Source organism: Homo sapiens, chromosome 7 (genome assembly GCF_000001405.40).
Source record: "Homo sapiens chromosome 7, GRCh38.p14 Primary Assembly".
NCBI classification, from domain to species: domain Eukaryota; kingdom Metazoa; phylum Chordata; class Mammalia; order Primates; family Hominidae; genus Homo; species Homo sapiens.
In genome coordinates, this window is record NC_000007.14 from 71,455,592 (window position 1) to 71,467,931 (window position 12,340).

At 44.8% G+C, this 12,340-nt stretch overlaps 1 protein-coding gene across 4 annotated transcripts in view, besides 4 other annotated features; it reads left to right on the forward strand.

The window, feature by feature from the left end:
- GALNT17 (polypeptide N-acetylgalactosaminyltransferase 17) overlaps nucleotides 1-12,340 on the forward strand; it is a 581,456-nt gene that overhangs the window by 323,448 nt on the left and 245,668 nt on the right. The window lies entirely within an intron of this gene.
- Nucleotides 910-1,768: an enhancer, noted in NCBI's record as "OCT4-NANOG-H3K27ac hESC enhancer chr7:70921486-70922344 (GRCh37/hg19 assembly coordinates)". NCBI's record gives its function as "activates a minimal SCP1, AML or CMV promoter by ChIP-STARR-seq in naive and primed H9 embryonic stem cells {active_cell/tissue: H9 hESC(naive and primed)}" and the evidence as "EXISTENCE:reporter gene assay evidence [ECO:0000049][PMID:30033119]".
- Nucleotides 1,769-2,627: an enhancer, noted in NCBI's record as "OCT4-NANOG-H3K27ac-H3K4me1 hESC enhancer chr7:70922345-70923203 (GRCh37/hg19 assembly coordinates)". NCBI's record gives its function as "activates a minimal SCP1, AML or CMV promoter by ChIP-STARR-seq in naive H9 embryonic stem cells {active_cell/tissue: H9 hESC(naive)}" and the evidence as "EXISTENCE:reporter gene assay evidence [ECO:0000049][PMID:30033119]".
- Nucleotides 9,217-10,104: an enhancer, noted in NCBI's record as "OCT4-NANOG-H3K27ac hESC enhancer chr7:70929793-70930680 (GRCh37/hg19 assembly coordinates)". NCBI's record gives its function as "activates a minimal SCP1, AML or CMV promoter by ChIP-STARR-seq in naive H9 embryonic stem cells {active_cell/tissue: H9 hESC(naive)}" and the evidence as "EXISTENCE:reporter gene assay evidence [ECO:0000049][PMID:30033119]".
- Nucleotides 10,105-10,991: an enhancer, noted in NCBI's record as "OCT4-NANOG-H3K27ac hESC enhancer chr7:70930681-70931567 (GRCh37/hg19 assembly coordinates)". NCBI's record gives its function as "activates a minimal SCP1, AML or CMV promoter by ChIP-STARR-seq in naive and primed H9 embryonic stem cells {active_cell/tissue: H9 hESC(naive and primed)}" and the evidence as "EXISTENCE:reporter gene assay evidence [ECO:0000049][PMID:30033119]".

A 12,340-nucleotide genomic window follows, 5' to 3' on the forward strand; every position in this document is an offset into this window, starting at 1 on the left:
AGCGCTGTGCCAGACCCCAGACCAGACCCTATGGGATGAGCCAACAGTTCTTGTTCCCAGAGAAGGCAGCTCTCTCTCATGCTCATAGTCCACACTCCCCAGCCAGCACGGGGCATAGGGACTTCATCTGAAATCTCAAATCCCATGTGGCAAATATCACAGTGGCTAGGAGATGACTTCTTTGTGAGAGATTTTCCTGTTTGAGTAAGAGAACAAGTTAGGCTTTTGAAACCAAGTAGAGCTGGATCAAACTTTGGTCCCAGTACTTGTCAGTTGTTTGACCTAATGAAAGGCAGGGAACCTTCTGTTCCTATGAGAAGGCTCAGGATACATCACCTACCCCTCAGAGCTCCTGTGAAGATTAGACTGTGAGGCCGGGGACGGTGGCTCACGTCTGTAATCCCAGCACTTTGGGAGGCTGAGGCGGGCAGATCACTTGAGGTCAGGAGTATGAGACCAGTCTGGCCAACATGGTGAAACTCCATCTTTACTTAAAATACAAAAATTATCTGGGCGTGGTGCCACGTGCCTGTAGTCCCAGCTATTCAGGAGGCTGAGGCAGGAGAATTGCTTGAACCTGGGGGGCAGAGGTTGCAGTGAGGCGAGATCGCACCACTGCACGCCAGCCTTGGTAACAGAGTAAAACTCCATCTCAAAAAAAAAAGATTAAGCTTTGAATAGTATGTGAGATGCCAGTGACCTGACCGCCAAGTATATTGCGAGAGTCAGTGAATTGTTAGTTCTTTTTTATAATTCGAAAATCAAGTATTATAAGGCCTGGGAAGGATGCTTATGATATTAAATTCATATTTTAAAATGAGCCTTGGCCGGGCGTAGTGGCTCATGCCTGTAATCCCAGCACTTTGGGAGGCCGAGGCGGGTGGGAGGCCTAGGTGGGTGGATAACCTGAGGTCAGGAGTTTAAGACCAGCCTGGCCAACATAGTGAAACCCTGTCTCTACTAAAAATACAAAACTTAGCCGGGCATGGTGGCATGGTGGCGGACGCCTGTAATCCCAGCTACTCAGGAGGCTATGGCAGGAGAATCGCTTGAACTCTTGGCGGAGGCTGCAGACTCCATAAAAAAAAAAAACAAAGCCTCTCTGTAGAAAGGATCTAATGGCATTCTTGAACCCAAAATATCTGAGACAGATTTCAACCATTTTAGAAAGTTTATTTTGCGAAGGTTCAGGACACACCTGTGACACAGGCTCAGGAGGTCCTGATGACATGTACCCAAGGTGGACGGGGTGCAGCTTACTTTTATACATTTTAGGGAGATGGAGACGTGAGACATCTATCACTATGTGTAAGACAGACATTGGTTCTGTCCAGTAAGGTGGGACAACTCGAAGCGGGGGGTTCCAGGTCACAGGTAGATAAGAGACAGAAGGTTGAATTCTTTTGAGTCCTTGATTAACCTTCCACTGAATACACAATTTAGTCTGGCTCAGTGTGTCTGCATTTTTACAAAAACAATAGAGGCAGAGGAAACAATCAGATATGAATTTGTCTCAGGTGAGCAGAGGGATGACTTTCTGTCCTGCACCTGTGAAGATAAGCTATCCGTTTACATTGTCAGGGTGAAATTCAACAGAACCCTCTGACGGAAAAGATCTTGAGGCCTGCAGGGAATTTCCTTGTGGGCAAATTGCAGGGGAGATATGCACCTCTTTTGTCTTTTAAGCTATCTTATTTAGGAATAAAATAGGAAGCAGGTTTGCCTGATGTAGTTCCCAGCGTGACTTTTCCCTTGGCTTTGTGATTCTGGGGTTATTTTGTTACCGGAAAGGGGTCCTGATCCAGACCCCAAGAGAGAGTTCTTGGATCTTGTGCAAGAAAGAATTCAGGACAAGTCCGTAGAGTAAAGTGAAAGCACGTTTATTAGGAAAGTAAAGGAATAAAAGAATGGCTACTCCATAGCCAGAGCAGCCCCGAAGGCTGCTGGTTGCCCATTTTTATGGTTATTTCTTGATGATATGCTAAACAAGGGGTGGATTATTCATGCCTCCCCTTTTTACACCATATAGGGTAATTTGCTGTCATTACCATGGCATTTGTAAACTGCAGTGGTGCTGGTGGGAGCATAGCGGTGAAAATGACCAGAGGTCACTCTCGTCTCCATCTTGGTTTTGGTGGGTTTTAACCAGTGTCTTTACCACAACTTGTTTTTGATCAACAAAGTTTTTATGACCTGTATCTTGTGCCGACCTCTTATCTCATTCTGTGACTTAGAGCGCCTTAACTGTCTGGGAATCCAGCCCAGTAGGTTCCAGCCTTATTTTACCCAGCTCCTTTTCAAGATGGAGTTGCTCTGTTTCAAACAGCTCTGACATTTTTACACATTTTATCCAGAACAGCAGGCATCTCCAGAAGGCAGGGACACCACTGCCCACCCTTCCTTTCCTCTACCACTCTTTGAAGCCACGCTGTGTTTCCCAGTAGGGCGCTCTGTTCTCTCCAATCCCCACACTGTCAAAGACAGCCACAAGCAGAGATCTGTGTGAGGGGTCACCTGCTGCCAGGGCTCAGGCAGCAGGCTTGGCCAGTCCTTTTCCAGCATTCAGCCTGTGTATGGAAGGATTCTATCCTGTGCATTAGCAGAATAACATCTAATTGGTCTTTGTTTGCTCCAGAACATAGAAAGTAGAGCTTTTTCATTGCATTAACAACTACATCGAAACAGGAGACTTCTCTCACCCCCCTTGCAGGATGTGCTGCAGGGGCATGGCTTGTCTGTTCGCCACCCTTAATAGGACGGGGAGCAAGTAAACAGTCAGGTGCAGGAGCGGGGGCGAGTGCTTTTGGGCTGCAGCCCCACGGTAGCATCTAAGATGGGTGCCTGTGGCTGCCAAAGCCCTATTGGGCATGTTGCATTTATACGTTTGTACTCAGATACATTTAGCTCAGTTGCAGTGCTCCTTTAGCTCTGCTACCTACAGATGGCTTAAATGTTAACCAGCTCAGTGCCCTGTTGGTGCCTGGGTTCTTGCCTGGTGTCCAGGAAGAATCAGGTCACACATGGACTTGAAGGATGGTGAATGCAGGGGTTTTACTGAGTGTTGGAGGTGGTTCTCAGCAGGATGGATGGGAACGTGGAAAGGTGATGGAGTGGGAAGAGGATCTTCCCCTGGAGTTTGGCTGTCCAGCGGCTCACCTCCTCTCCAACCGTCCCCAGCTGAACTCCTCTCCATGTTCAGACGCTCCTTCTTTTCTCTCATTCTCTGCTGCCCTGTTCAGCGGGTCTTCTGTTCGTCTGCTCCGGGAGCTGGGGGTTCGGGGTTTATATGGGTACAGGGTAGGGGGCGTGGCGGGCCAAAAGGCAATGTTTGGGTGTGAAAACAGGAATGGCTGTTCCCATTTAGGGCCACAGGTTTCCAGGCTTGAGGGTGGGGCCTTTGCTGGGGAACCGCCCTCTTCTACCCAGTATTTTCCTGTCTCCTGTCCATATCAACATGAAGTAGTACATGGGCAGAACGGATATACAGGTAGGGTTGGATATTGCTTAAAAAAAAAACACCTTTCGGCAAATTAAATTTAACAGAGTCTAATTGTGCAAAGAACAATTCACAAATCAGACAGCCTACAGAAGAAGAATAGGTTCAGAATGACTCTGGGGCTACCACATGGGCAGATAACATAACATTTATGGACAGAAAAAGGAAAGCAGAATACAGAAAAAAAAAGTGACAGACAGAAACAGCTGGGCTGATTACAGCTGGGCATTTGCCTTATTTGAACCTGCTTTGAACAGTTGGTTGCCTGTGGTTGGCTGAGACTCAGTTATTTGTTACAAGAGCAGGTTACAGTCTGTTTACACATTAAGATAAGTTACAGTTTACTATGTATGGAGAAAATTTCAGGCTGAGGACTAAGCTCTAATTTTTTCTTGTCTTGCCCAAATATCTAAGAGACCTGGGGAGTCATGCCTTATAAATCATAGTCTCATCACATGGGTTTTATTTAACCCTATAGATCGTGACTTACTTTCCAGTCTGACTCTGGCATAACACAACATGACAAAGAAGAAAGTCAAAATATTTTATCCCAAAACATGTTTCTTGGCCATATTTTGAAATGGTCCTGCAAAGCCATTCATTGTGGGGGGGAAAATTGCATCTGTAAAGAATCTCTGTTTACATAGCTAGATCTTTTTCTCTAGGCCCTCCCTATCCTGAAGAGATTACCTGACAGTCTAGCACCTTTTAAAGGTCTGAATAAAACATTCGTCATCTACTGTCTCTAAGGGCAGCTGCTATGAGACTTCAAAAGAACCTTGGTCTCCACAATGTTTTATTTTAACATGAACATTTCCTTTCTATTAACCCCAGGTCTTTAGACACACTCAACCAGTTGTCAACTAGAAAGTGTTTAAATTCACCTTATAGCCTGGAAGCCCGCAGCTTCGAATTGTCCTGCCTTTATGGACCAAACCAATGTAGTTCTCTAATGTATTTGAGTGATGTCTCATGCCTCCCTAAAATATATAAAGCCAAGCTGTACCCCGACCACCTTGGGCACATGTTCTTAGGACCCCCTGAGGGCTGTGTCACGGGCCATGGTCACTCATATTTGGCTCAGAATAAATCTCTTCAAGTGTTTTACAGAGTTCAACTCTGTTCATCAACAAGGCCAAACTTAACACAACAATATGTCTATGAAATAGACAAGGATGGCAGCATTGGACCATAGGAGTGGGAGGGAAAAGTAAGCTACCAACTGTGAGATTCTTATTACCTAAATAAAATTTTTGGTGAAAAACGATAAAAATAAATACTAAATCACCACCATCTCAAAAAACAAAACAAAACACTACAAGCAGGGCAGTCATTTTTGTGGTCACTGCCCACCTGCAATTGGTCTGTGTGATGGACCTTTTGAAGGATAAGTAGATCTCACACCATATAATGGAGTTTGAGACCAAAATATAAGAAGTAGTAGTGTTACCAGAAAGGGGTCCTGATTCAGACCCCAAGAGAGGGTTCTTGGATCTCATGCAAGAAAGAATTTAAGGCGAGTCCATAGAGTAAAGTGAAAGCAAGTTTATTAAGAGAGTGGAGGAATAAAATAATGGCTACTCCCTATGCAGAACAGCCCTGAGGGCTGCTGGTTGCCCATTTTTATGGTTATTTCTTGATGATACGCTAAACAAGGGGGTGGATCATTCATGCCTCCCCTTTTTAGGCCATATAGAGTAACTTCTTGATGTTGCCATGGCATTTGTAAACTGTCATGGCGCTGGTGGGAGTGTAGCAGTGAGGATGACCAGAGGTCACTCCCGTCGCCATTTTGGTTTTGGTGGGTTTTGGCCGGCTTCTTTACTGCAACCTATTTTTATCAGCAAGGTCTTTATGACCTGTATCTTGTGCCAACCTCTTATCTCATCCTGTGACTTAGAATGCTTAACCATCTGAGAATGCAGCCCAGTAGGTCTCAGCCTTATTTTACCAAGCCCTTATTCAAGATGGAGCCGCTCTAGTTCAGATGCCTCTGACAGTAGGGGAAAGGAGAGACATAAAACTTCACATTCCTGAAGACTTTCTCATGCTTTTGATTGAAACTCAAGCCATTGAAGAATATTTCAGCCAGAGTATGCAGCAACCCATTTTTCTAGGTCCAGTAGTTGACACCGTAGACTTGTCAAGGGAAAGCCAAATGCACACATCACTGTGAACATTGGAAATACTATCTCCAGGATGTTAGAAAACACTTTTAAAAATGACTTGAAGGAAAAGTCGGAAGGAGAACATAGGAAAGGGCCTTTCATTTCTCTTAAGCAGGAGTGTTAAAGCAATTATTGACCTACTGTACTTTGTTCTCATTAAGAAACCAAGTACCTTTTTAATGACTTCTATGGGAAGTATTCTAAATACAGAAGTGATAATAGAAGGATTTCTTGGAAGCAGAGGATAGCACTCTTTCATCCAAAAGAACTTAGAGGAGCATTTGAAGAGGGATTGCTGAAGGCTGTGGTTTTCTTTCCTGTGCACATTAATTCAATGTCCTTTTTACTCAGTAGGGTGTAAACATACATCATTTAAATTAACATAAAAAGTCAGAAATGAGACCTCCATTAACATATCCGCAGGGGAGGAATGAGGCAGTCCCACGTGACTTCTTGCTGCTGTTGCCTCCCAGGAGTGGGGCTGCCAGGCGGGTCCTCCTGCTGACCCCCTCCTCCTCTGCCTTTTCCTGTCCGGTTCTGCAGTGTCACTCCCAGCAGGTCGGCTCATCTTGGCGCTCTCGGCCACAGATGTCTCGACAGGTCCGAGTTACTTATGTAATTGCTATCAACTTGCTGTGCAACCCTCTGGGGCAGGACATGATGCCTATCTTTAACCTCTGGATCAATTGAAAACTGGCTTAATTGGCTCAGTGTCCAGCAGTGCCATTATTTGACTCCCCTGTCTGGCCTCTTACTCTTCAAGGATGCAGAGGTCTGGGAAGGCAGAGCAGACCTGCCCCTACTCTGCGATGGTGGGAGTGGGAGCTGCTCTGGGCTAGATTCAGAGGATTCTCCAGCTACTCAGCCACCCAGAGTCCTCCCTGGAGCCCTTGCCTGGTGGGGCACTGTGGGGTGCAGTGCATGCTTCTCCCCTGTAGTGGAGAGCCTGAAATTCTGGCCCTTTCATCCTCTTTTCAAGATTATTCATTCCTCACCCTCAGCCATTCGTTCCCTCCACTCAGAGCCTGACACTTATTAAAATACTAAGGAAGACTTTATTCAAGACTATTGCAATAGACGTTGACTCTGTTGCAATAGAGGAGAGAGATTGGGGTCAACTCTGAATACAACAAGACAAGTGGGATTTATAGCTAAGTAGCAGAGTGACAGGGTTGTAGCTGTGAACCCCCCAAATTTGGGACAGGTCTCAGTTAATTTAGAAAGTTTATTTTGCCAGGGTTGAGGACTCACACCCCTAACACAGCCTCAGGAAGTGCTGACGGCATGTGCCCAAGGTGGTCGGGGCACAGCTTGGTTTTATACATTCTAGGGAGACGTGAGACATCAATCAATATATGTTAAAAGTACATTGGTTTGGTCTGCAAAGGTGGGACAACTTGAAACAAAGGCGGGAAGACTTGAAGTGGGAGGGAGTGTCCAGGTCCCAGATAGGTGAGAGACAAATGGTTGCTTTCTTTTGAGTTTCTGTTGAGCCTTTCCAAAGGAGGCAATCAGATATGCATCTATCTCAGTGAGCAGAGAGATAACTTTGAATAGAATGGGAGGCAGGTTTGCCGCAAGCAGTTTCCACCTTGAGTTTTCCCTTTAGCTTAGTGATTTTGGGTACCCAAGATATATTTTCCTTTCACATGGCTGTAATATGTCTGTTGCTGGATCCCTATGGCAAGTGGATGCACTGAGACAGCAGATTGCAGCAGACAAAAAGGTTTAATTGTTGGGCCACTGAACAAGTAGATGGGAGGAAACCTCAAATCCATCGCCTCAAGGAATTGGTGGTTAGGGGTTTTGAGGGTTCTGGAATGGGCTGAAGTGTGGAGATTGTTGATTGGTGGAAGAGTGCAGGGTGAAGTCACAGGACAGGGAGGGGAAGCATCTCTATATTCTCAGGCTGATCCCATTCCTCTGTGAGGGTCTTAAAACTGGTTGCTAGAATTTGGGGTCTAAAAAACATCTTAAGTGATCCTTAAACAAAAGCCGTAGGATTCTAACATCAGAGACCTTATATATAGAAACAATGGGGTTGCAAATCAATTCTTAAACAGTCTGAGGGCCCTAATATCAGAGATCCTATCTGCACATGGGCAGTGTCTAGTGCTACAGGACTTTCAGCAACAAGGAAGTGGGCCAGAGTGCAGCCTGATTAATGCTTATGTTACCAGAAAGGGGTCCCAATCCAGACCTCAAGAGAGGGTTCTTGGATCTCACGCAAGAAACAGTCCAAGGTGAGTCCATAGGGTGAAGTGAAAGCAAGTGTATTAAGAAAGTAAAGGAATGAAAAAAAGGCTACTCCATAGGCAGAGCAGTGGCATGGGCTGCTAGACTGAATATAGTTATAGTTATTTCTTGATGATATGCTAAACCAGGGGTGAATTACTCATGAGTTTTCTGGGAAAGGGGTAGGCAATTCCCAGAACTGAGGGTTCCTCCCCTTTTTAGACCACATAGGGTAACTTCCGGGCATTGCCATGGCATTTGTAAACTGTCATGGAGCTGGTAGGAGTGTCTCTTAGCATGCTAATGCATTATAGTTAGCATATAATGAGCAGTGAGGACAACCAGACGTCACTTTCATTGCCATCTTGGTTTTGGTGGGATTTGGCAGGCTTCTTTACTGCAACCCGTTTTATCAGCAAGGTCTTTGTGACCTGTATCTTGTGCCCATCCCTTATCTCATCCTGTGACTAGGAGGCCTGACCTCCTGGGAATGCAGCCAGTAGGTCTCAGCCTTATTTCACCCAGCCCCTATTCAAGATGGAGTTGCTCTGATTCGAATGCCTCTGACACTTAATTATAACTATATTTCTGTTCCGAACCCAACCTCCAAGTCTTTTCAACCCTATTGGGATGGTTTCAGTGTCAGTGGGTGGAAGACTACTAATAAGAGACATTAAGCGTGGGGGATTCTTGTTAAATGGACCTAACAGGATTCTTGCTAAAGGCAGGCCAAGGGCTCAGACAGCAAGGGTATGGGGTGTTGAACTTGATCAGGTATCAAATTAGGGGATTTTCTCAAACCTGATTTTGCAGGATTCTTACTAAAACTGGACTTGGCATGGACAGACACAGAAGGCCAAGTTCAAGGCCTAGTAGATAAGTGGGATCAGAGGAGCCTAACCAAGGATTGGTCAAGGAGAGCATCTTTGCCAAGAACACGCTCCTGGTCCCCTTCCCCTTTGCAGCTTTGATGAACCCAACCTCTCAACAAGAGTGGGGTTGGGGAAAGGCTCTCTTTTGGGACTCCCCTGAAACAGAAAGAAGCTGTCATACTGTCCCCCCATCTTCCCTCCCTCAGCACAACCTTTAGACCACAGATATTTGCTGGGAAAGTGATCTTTTCATTCTTTCCTGTTTCCTTTGACAAACAGAAAGGGCACGGGTTTGAATGCCAGTTGATAATCCTTCCATGTTGCTAGTCTCAGGCTCCCCACTTGGTCCGTGGACAGGATCAAGACTCCAAAAACCTTGGTGCTCTGGGGCTGAGGAGAGACAGACATGAGAAGAGACTGCTTTCTCTTTTGTCTGTTTCCCTTGTCTAGTCTTGTTCTCCCCAGCATCCTCAATACACATTAGTTCCAGAGTTACAATTGCAGCTGAGTTCAAACTTGCACTGCTCAGTGCAGGACAGCCAATAAGTAAAGAGACAAGGTGTTGGGGCAAGGAAGACAAATTTATTTTGGAGATCCAGCAAACTGAGAAGATGGTGGACTAGCATTCTAAAGAACCATCTTAATACGAACTTAAGTTAATATGAGCCTTAAGTTAATAGGGCTCCTTTTATGCTAGGGGAAAGGGGAAGAGAAAAGGGGTTGAGATCAAGAGGTGACCAATGGCCACAGACATCTAGGTGGCAGCAAGGGTACAAGGATGTTGTGAAAATTCTTTTTCCTTGGTCAGATCACAATGCTCCTATAAATGTTTCACATAACATGCTTACTTGTGGGTATACCCTCCTTATCTCCTCAGGGGCTAATTTTGGGAAGGGACTACTGTCCTTACTTTAAAGTTAAATATAAACTAAATTCCTTCCCTAGTTAGCTCAGCCTACGTGCAGAGATAAGCAAAAGTAGTTAACCTAAAAGATATCACCCTTTGGGGGGTGTCAGAGGCAAAATAGAGTCAGTCATGCTAAGCTCCCCTCCACTGTTACACAACATAATTTAAAGAAGAAAAGCTTTATGATAACTTTATTCAACCTACTTAAGCATCACTCTCTTGAGCAAGACGTTGCCAAATGTAATTTTCTACATGCGTGTTTCTATAGACTTTGATCTCTCCAGGATAACTGCATGGGAAGCCACAGAAGAATGTGGCGGAAGCTTCCCTCCCAGCCCGATCTCCTCCTACTGTGTCCAAACCTTTGGCCCCTCTGAAAGTTGATTGAAAAATCAACTCACAAGAGGCAGATTCATGGAAAAGGCATACAGATTTATTTAACATGTATACATGGGAGCCTTCAGAGTGGAGAGCCAATCCACCAACGAGGTTCCGAAGCTTATATACTGTCTTGAGGTTATAGAAAGGATGCATGGCCAAAAACAGGTTATGGTGGTAAGTCAGCTTTTATTGGAAGGACAGTTTATGGTGGCGGGAGAAAGAAAGAGGCTTGGCTAGCAAAGGTGGCCTTGTTATGTAGATGAAGTCTCACATGGTAGCAGCCCTCAGAGAGAATGGATGTTAAATATCTCTTTTCAGACTTTTAAAGGTGTCAGACTCTCAATCTCTCCTGGATCTAGGAAAGGTCTAGAAAGGGAAGGCCTGGCTGCATGAATGGAGATTCTTTACAGATGCAAATTTCCGCCACAAAAGATAGCTTTGCAAGGCCACTTCTGTCAGCTGACCCTGCAGTGGCCGTTTCAAAATACATCAAAGTCACGTACTTTGGGGAAATATTTTGATTTTGCAAATCAAAAATAAAAGTCCTCCTGCTGACTAAATGGACCACCCTCTTGGCCAAGGGTATCCCAAGGAAACCTGAAAAACTAGTTCAGACCATGACTGGAAGTTGAGGGGTCAGATATGCCTCATTGTACCCTCTCCCTTGGAGTGTAGATACAAATGACCAGCATTGGTGTTAAAATAGAGATCATAAGACTGACAAAACAGACTCTTTGTAGCAATAAGGTACCAACTTCCAACTTCACTCTGGTATAGTATCACATGACAGAGAGCAGACCTGGAAAGAAATCAAAGTGTTTTACCCAAAAATGTATTTCTCTGACATATTTTGAAATGTCTCTGCAAAGCTGTTTCTTGTGGGGGAAATTTGCATTCTGTAGAGAATTCCCTTCCCTTCCTAGGTCTTTCCTGGAGAGTCTGACACTTTTTGTGGTCCAAAGAGAGATATTTACCATCTATTCTCTCTGATGCCTGCTACCTGGAGGCTTCATCTACATAACAAGAGCTTTGGCTTCCACAGTCCTCATCTTGACTCAAGCATTTCTTTATGCTGACTTGAAACTCCGCAGACAAAATTTAGCTCTTTTAACAGATTGCCAATCAAGAAATCTACGAATCCATCTACAACCTGGAAACACCCGTTTTGAGATGTCCCACCTTTCTGGGATGAATCAATGTATACCTTCCATACAGTGATTTATGTTTTTGCCTGTAACTTATCTCTCCCTAAAATGCATAAAACCATGTGCCCAAGGTGGCTGTAACCCCTCCACCTTGGGCACATGTGCTCAAGACCTCCTGAGGCTGTCACGGGCCATGGCCCTTAACCTGGGCAAAACAAACCTCTAAACTGATTAAGACATGTCTTGGGTAATTTTTGATTTACGATTTTCTTCATGGCCTCTGACATTGGTGGGAATGAAGTTCCTAAATAGCTTCTTTTATCTCAAGGTTGCTTAGTAGAAGCACTGACCCCTGCTTTGTCTTTTCCCTAAGTCTAGTTCCTCTTTCAAGTTATGCCTGGGAACATTTCTTGGAGACACAGCAGTCGTAGCTCTGGGATATCTACAAAGGAGGAACCTAGGGACAGCTCTCTGGTTGGAAGGAAGTGAGGCCAGGCCACATGTCTCTGTTTCATTTTCATGCAATGTATACCATGTTATAGATCAATAGATTCAGCTGTGTTTTCCAAATATGGTTTTATGCCCATCAGGCTCACAGGAGATGGAGTAAATATCAGTTGTCTGTACTACCGAAACATGACTATTTAAAAACAATTGGGCTACTTCAGGGGAGTGGGGCAAAGTCATGCCTGGGAGATTGTGGTCTTCAAGGGACAATTGCAAAAGCAAGGAGTCTTATTTTTCAAAGTTAGGAACATCTCACTTTCTGTGACATGTGTTCTTACCAAAAAAAAAAAATGACATTTGGAGTAATTTCTGCATGTGAATCCTGCTTATCTGACCCCTTCCTCATGGCAGGACTTTGGCTGCTGAGCTACCAGCTTCGTCCCAGAAGGAAGGTTTGGGACTCTGAGGGCCTGAGACTTATGCATGGAGTTCTGCTCTAGACAACAGGGAACATGGAAAGGCAAAAAAAAACAAACAAAAAAACCCTCAAAATCTGCAGGGAAACCTGAATTTCAAATCCAGGAAAACTGTCCATGGATGACAGCTGTGGTGGGGATCAAGGGGTCTCAGAGCCAAGGTGTATTGGCTAGTGTCTCCATAGACTGCCAAAATTACACGGGCATCCTGGG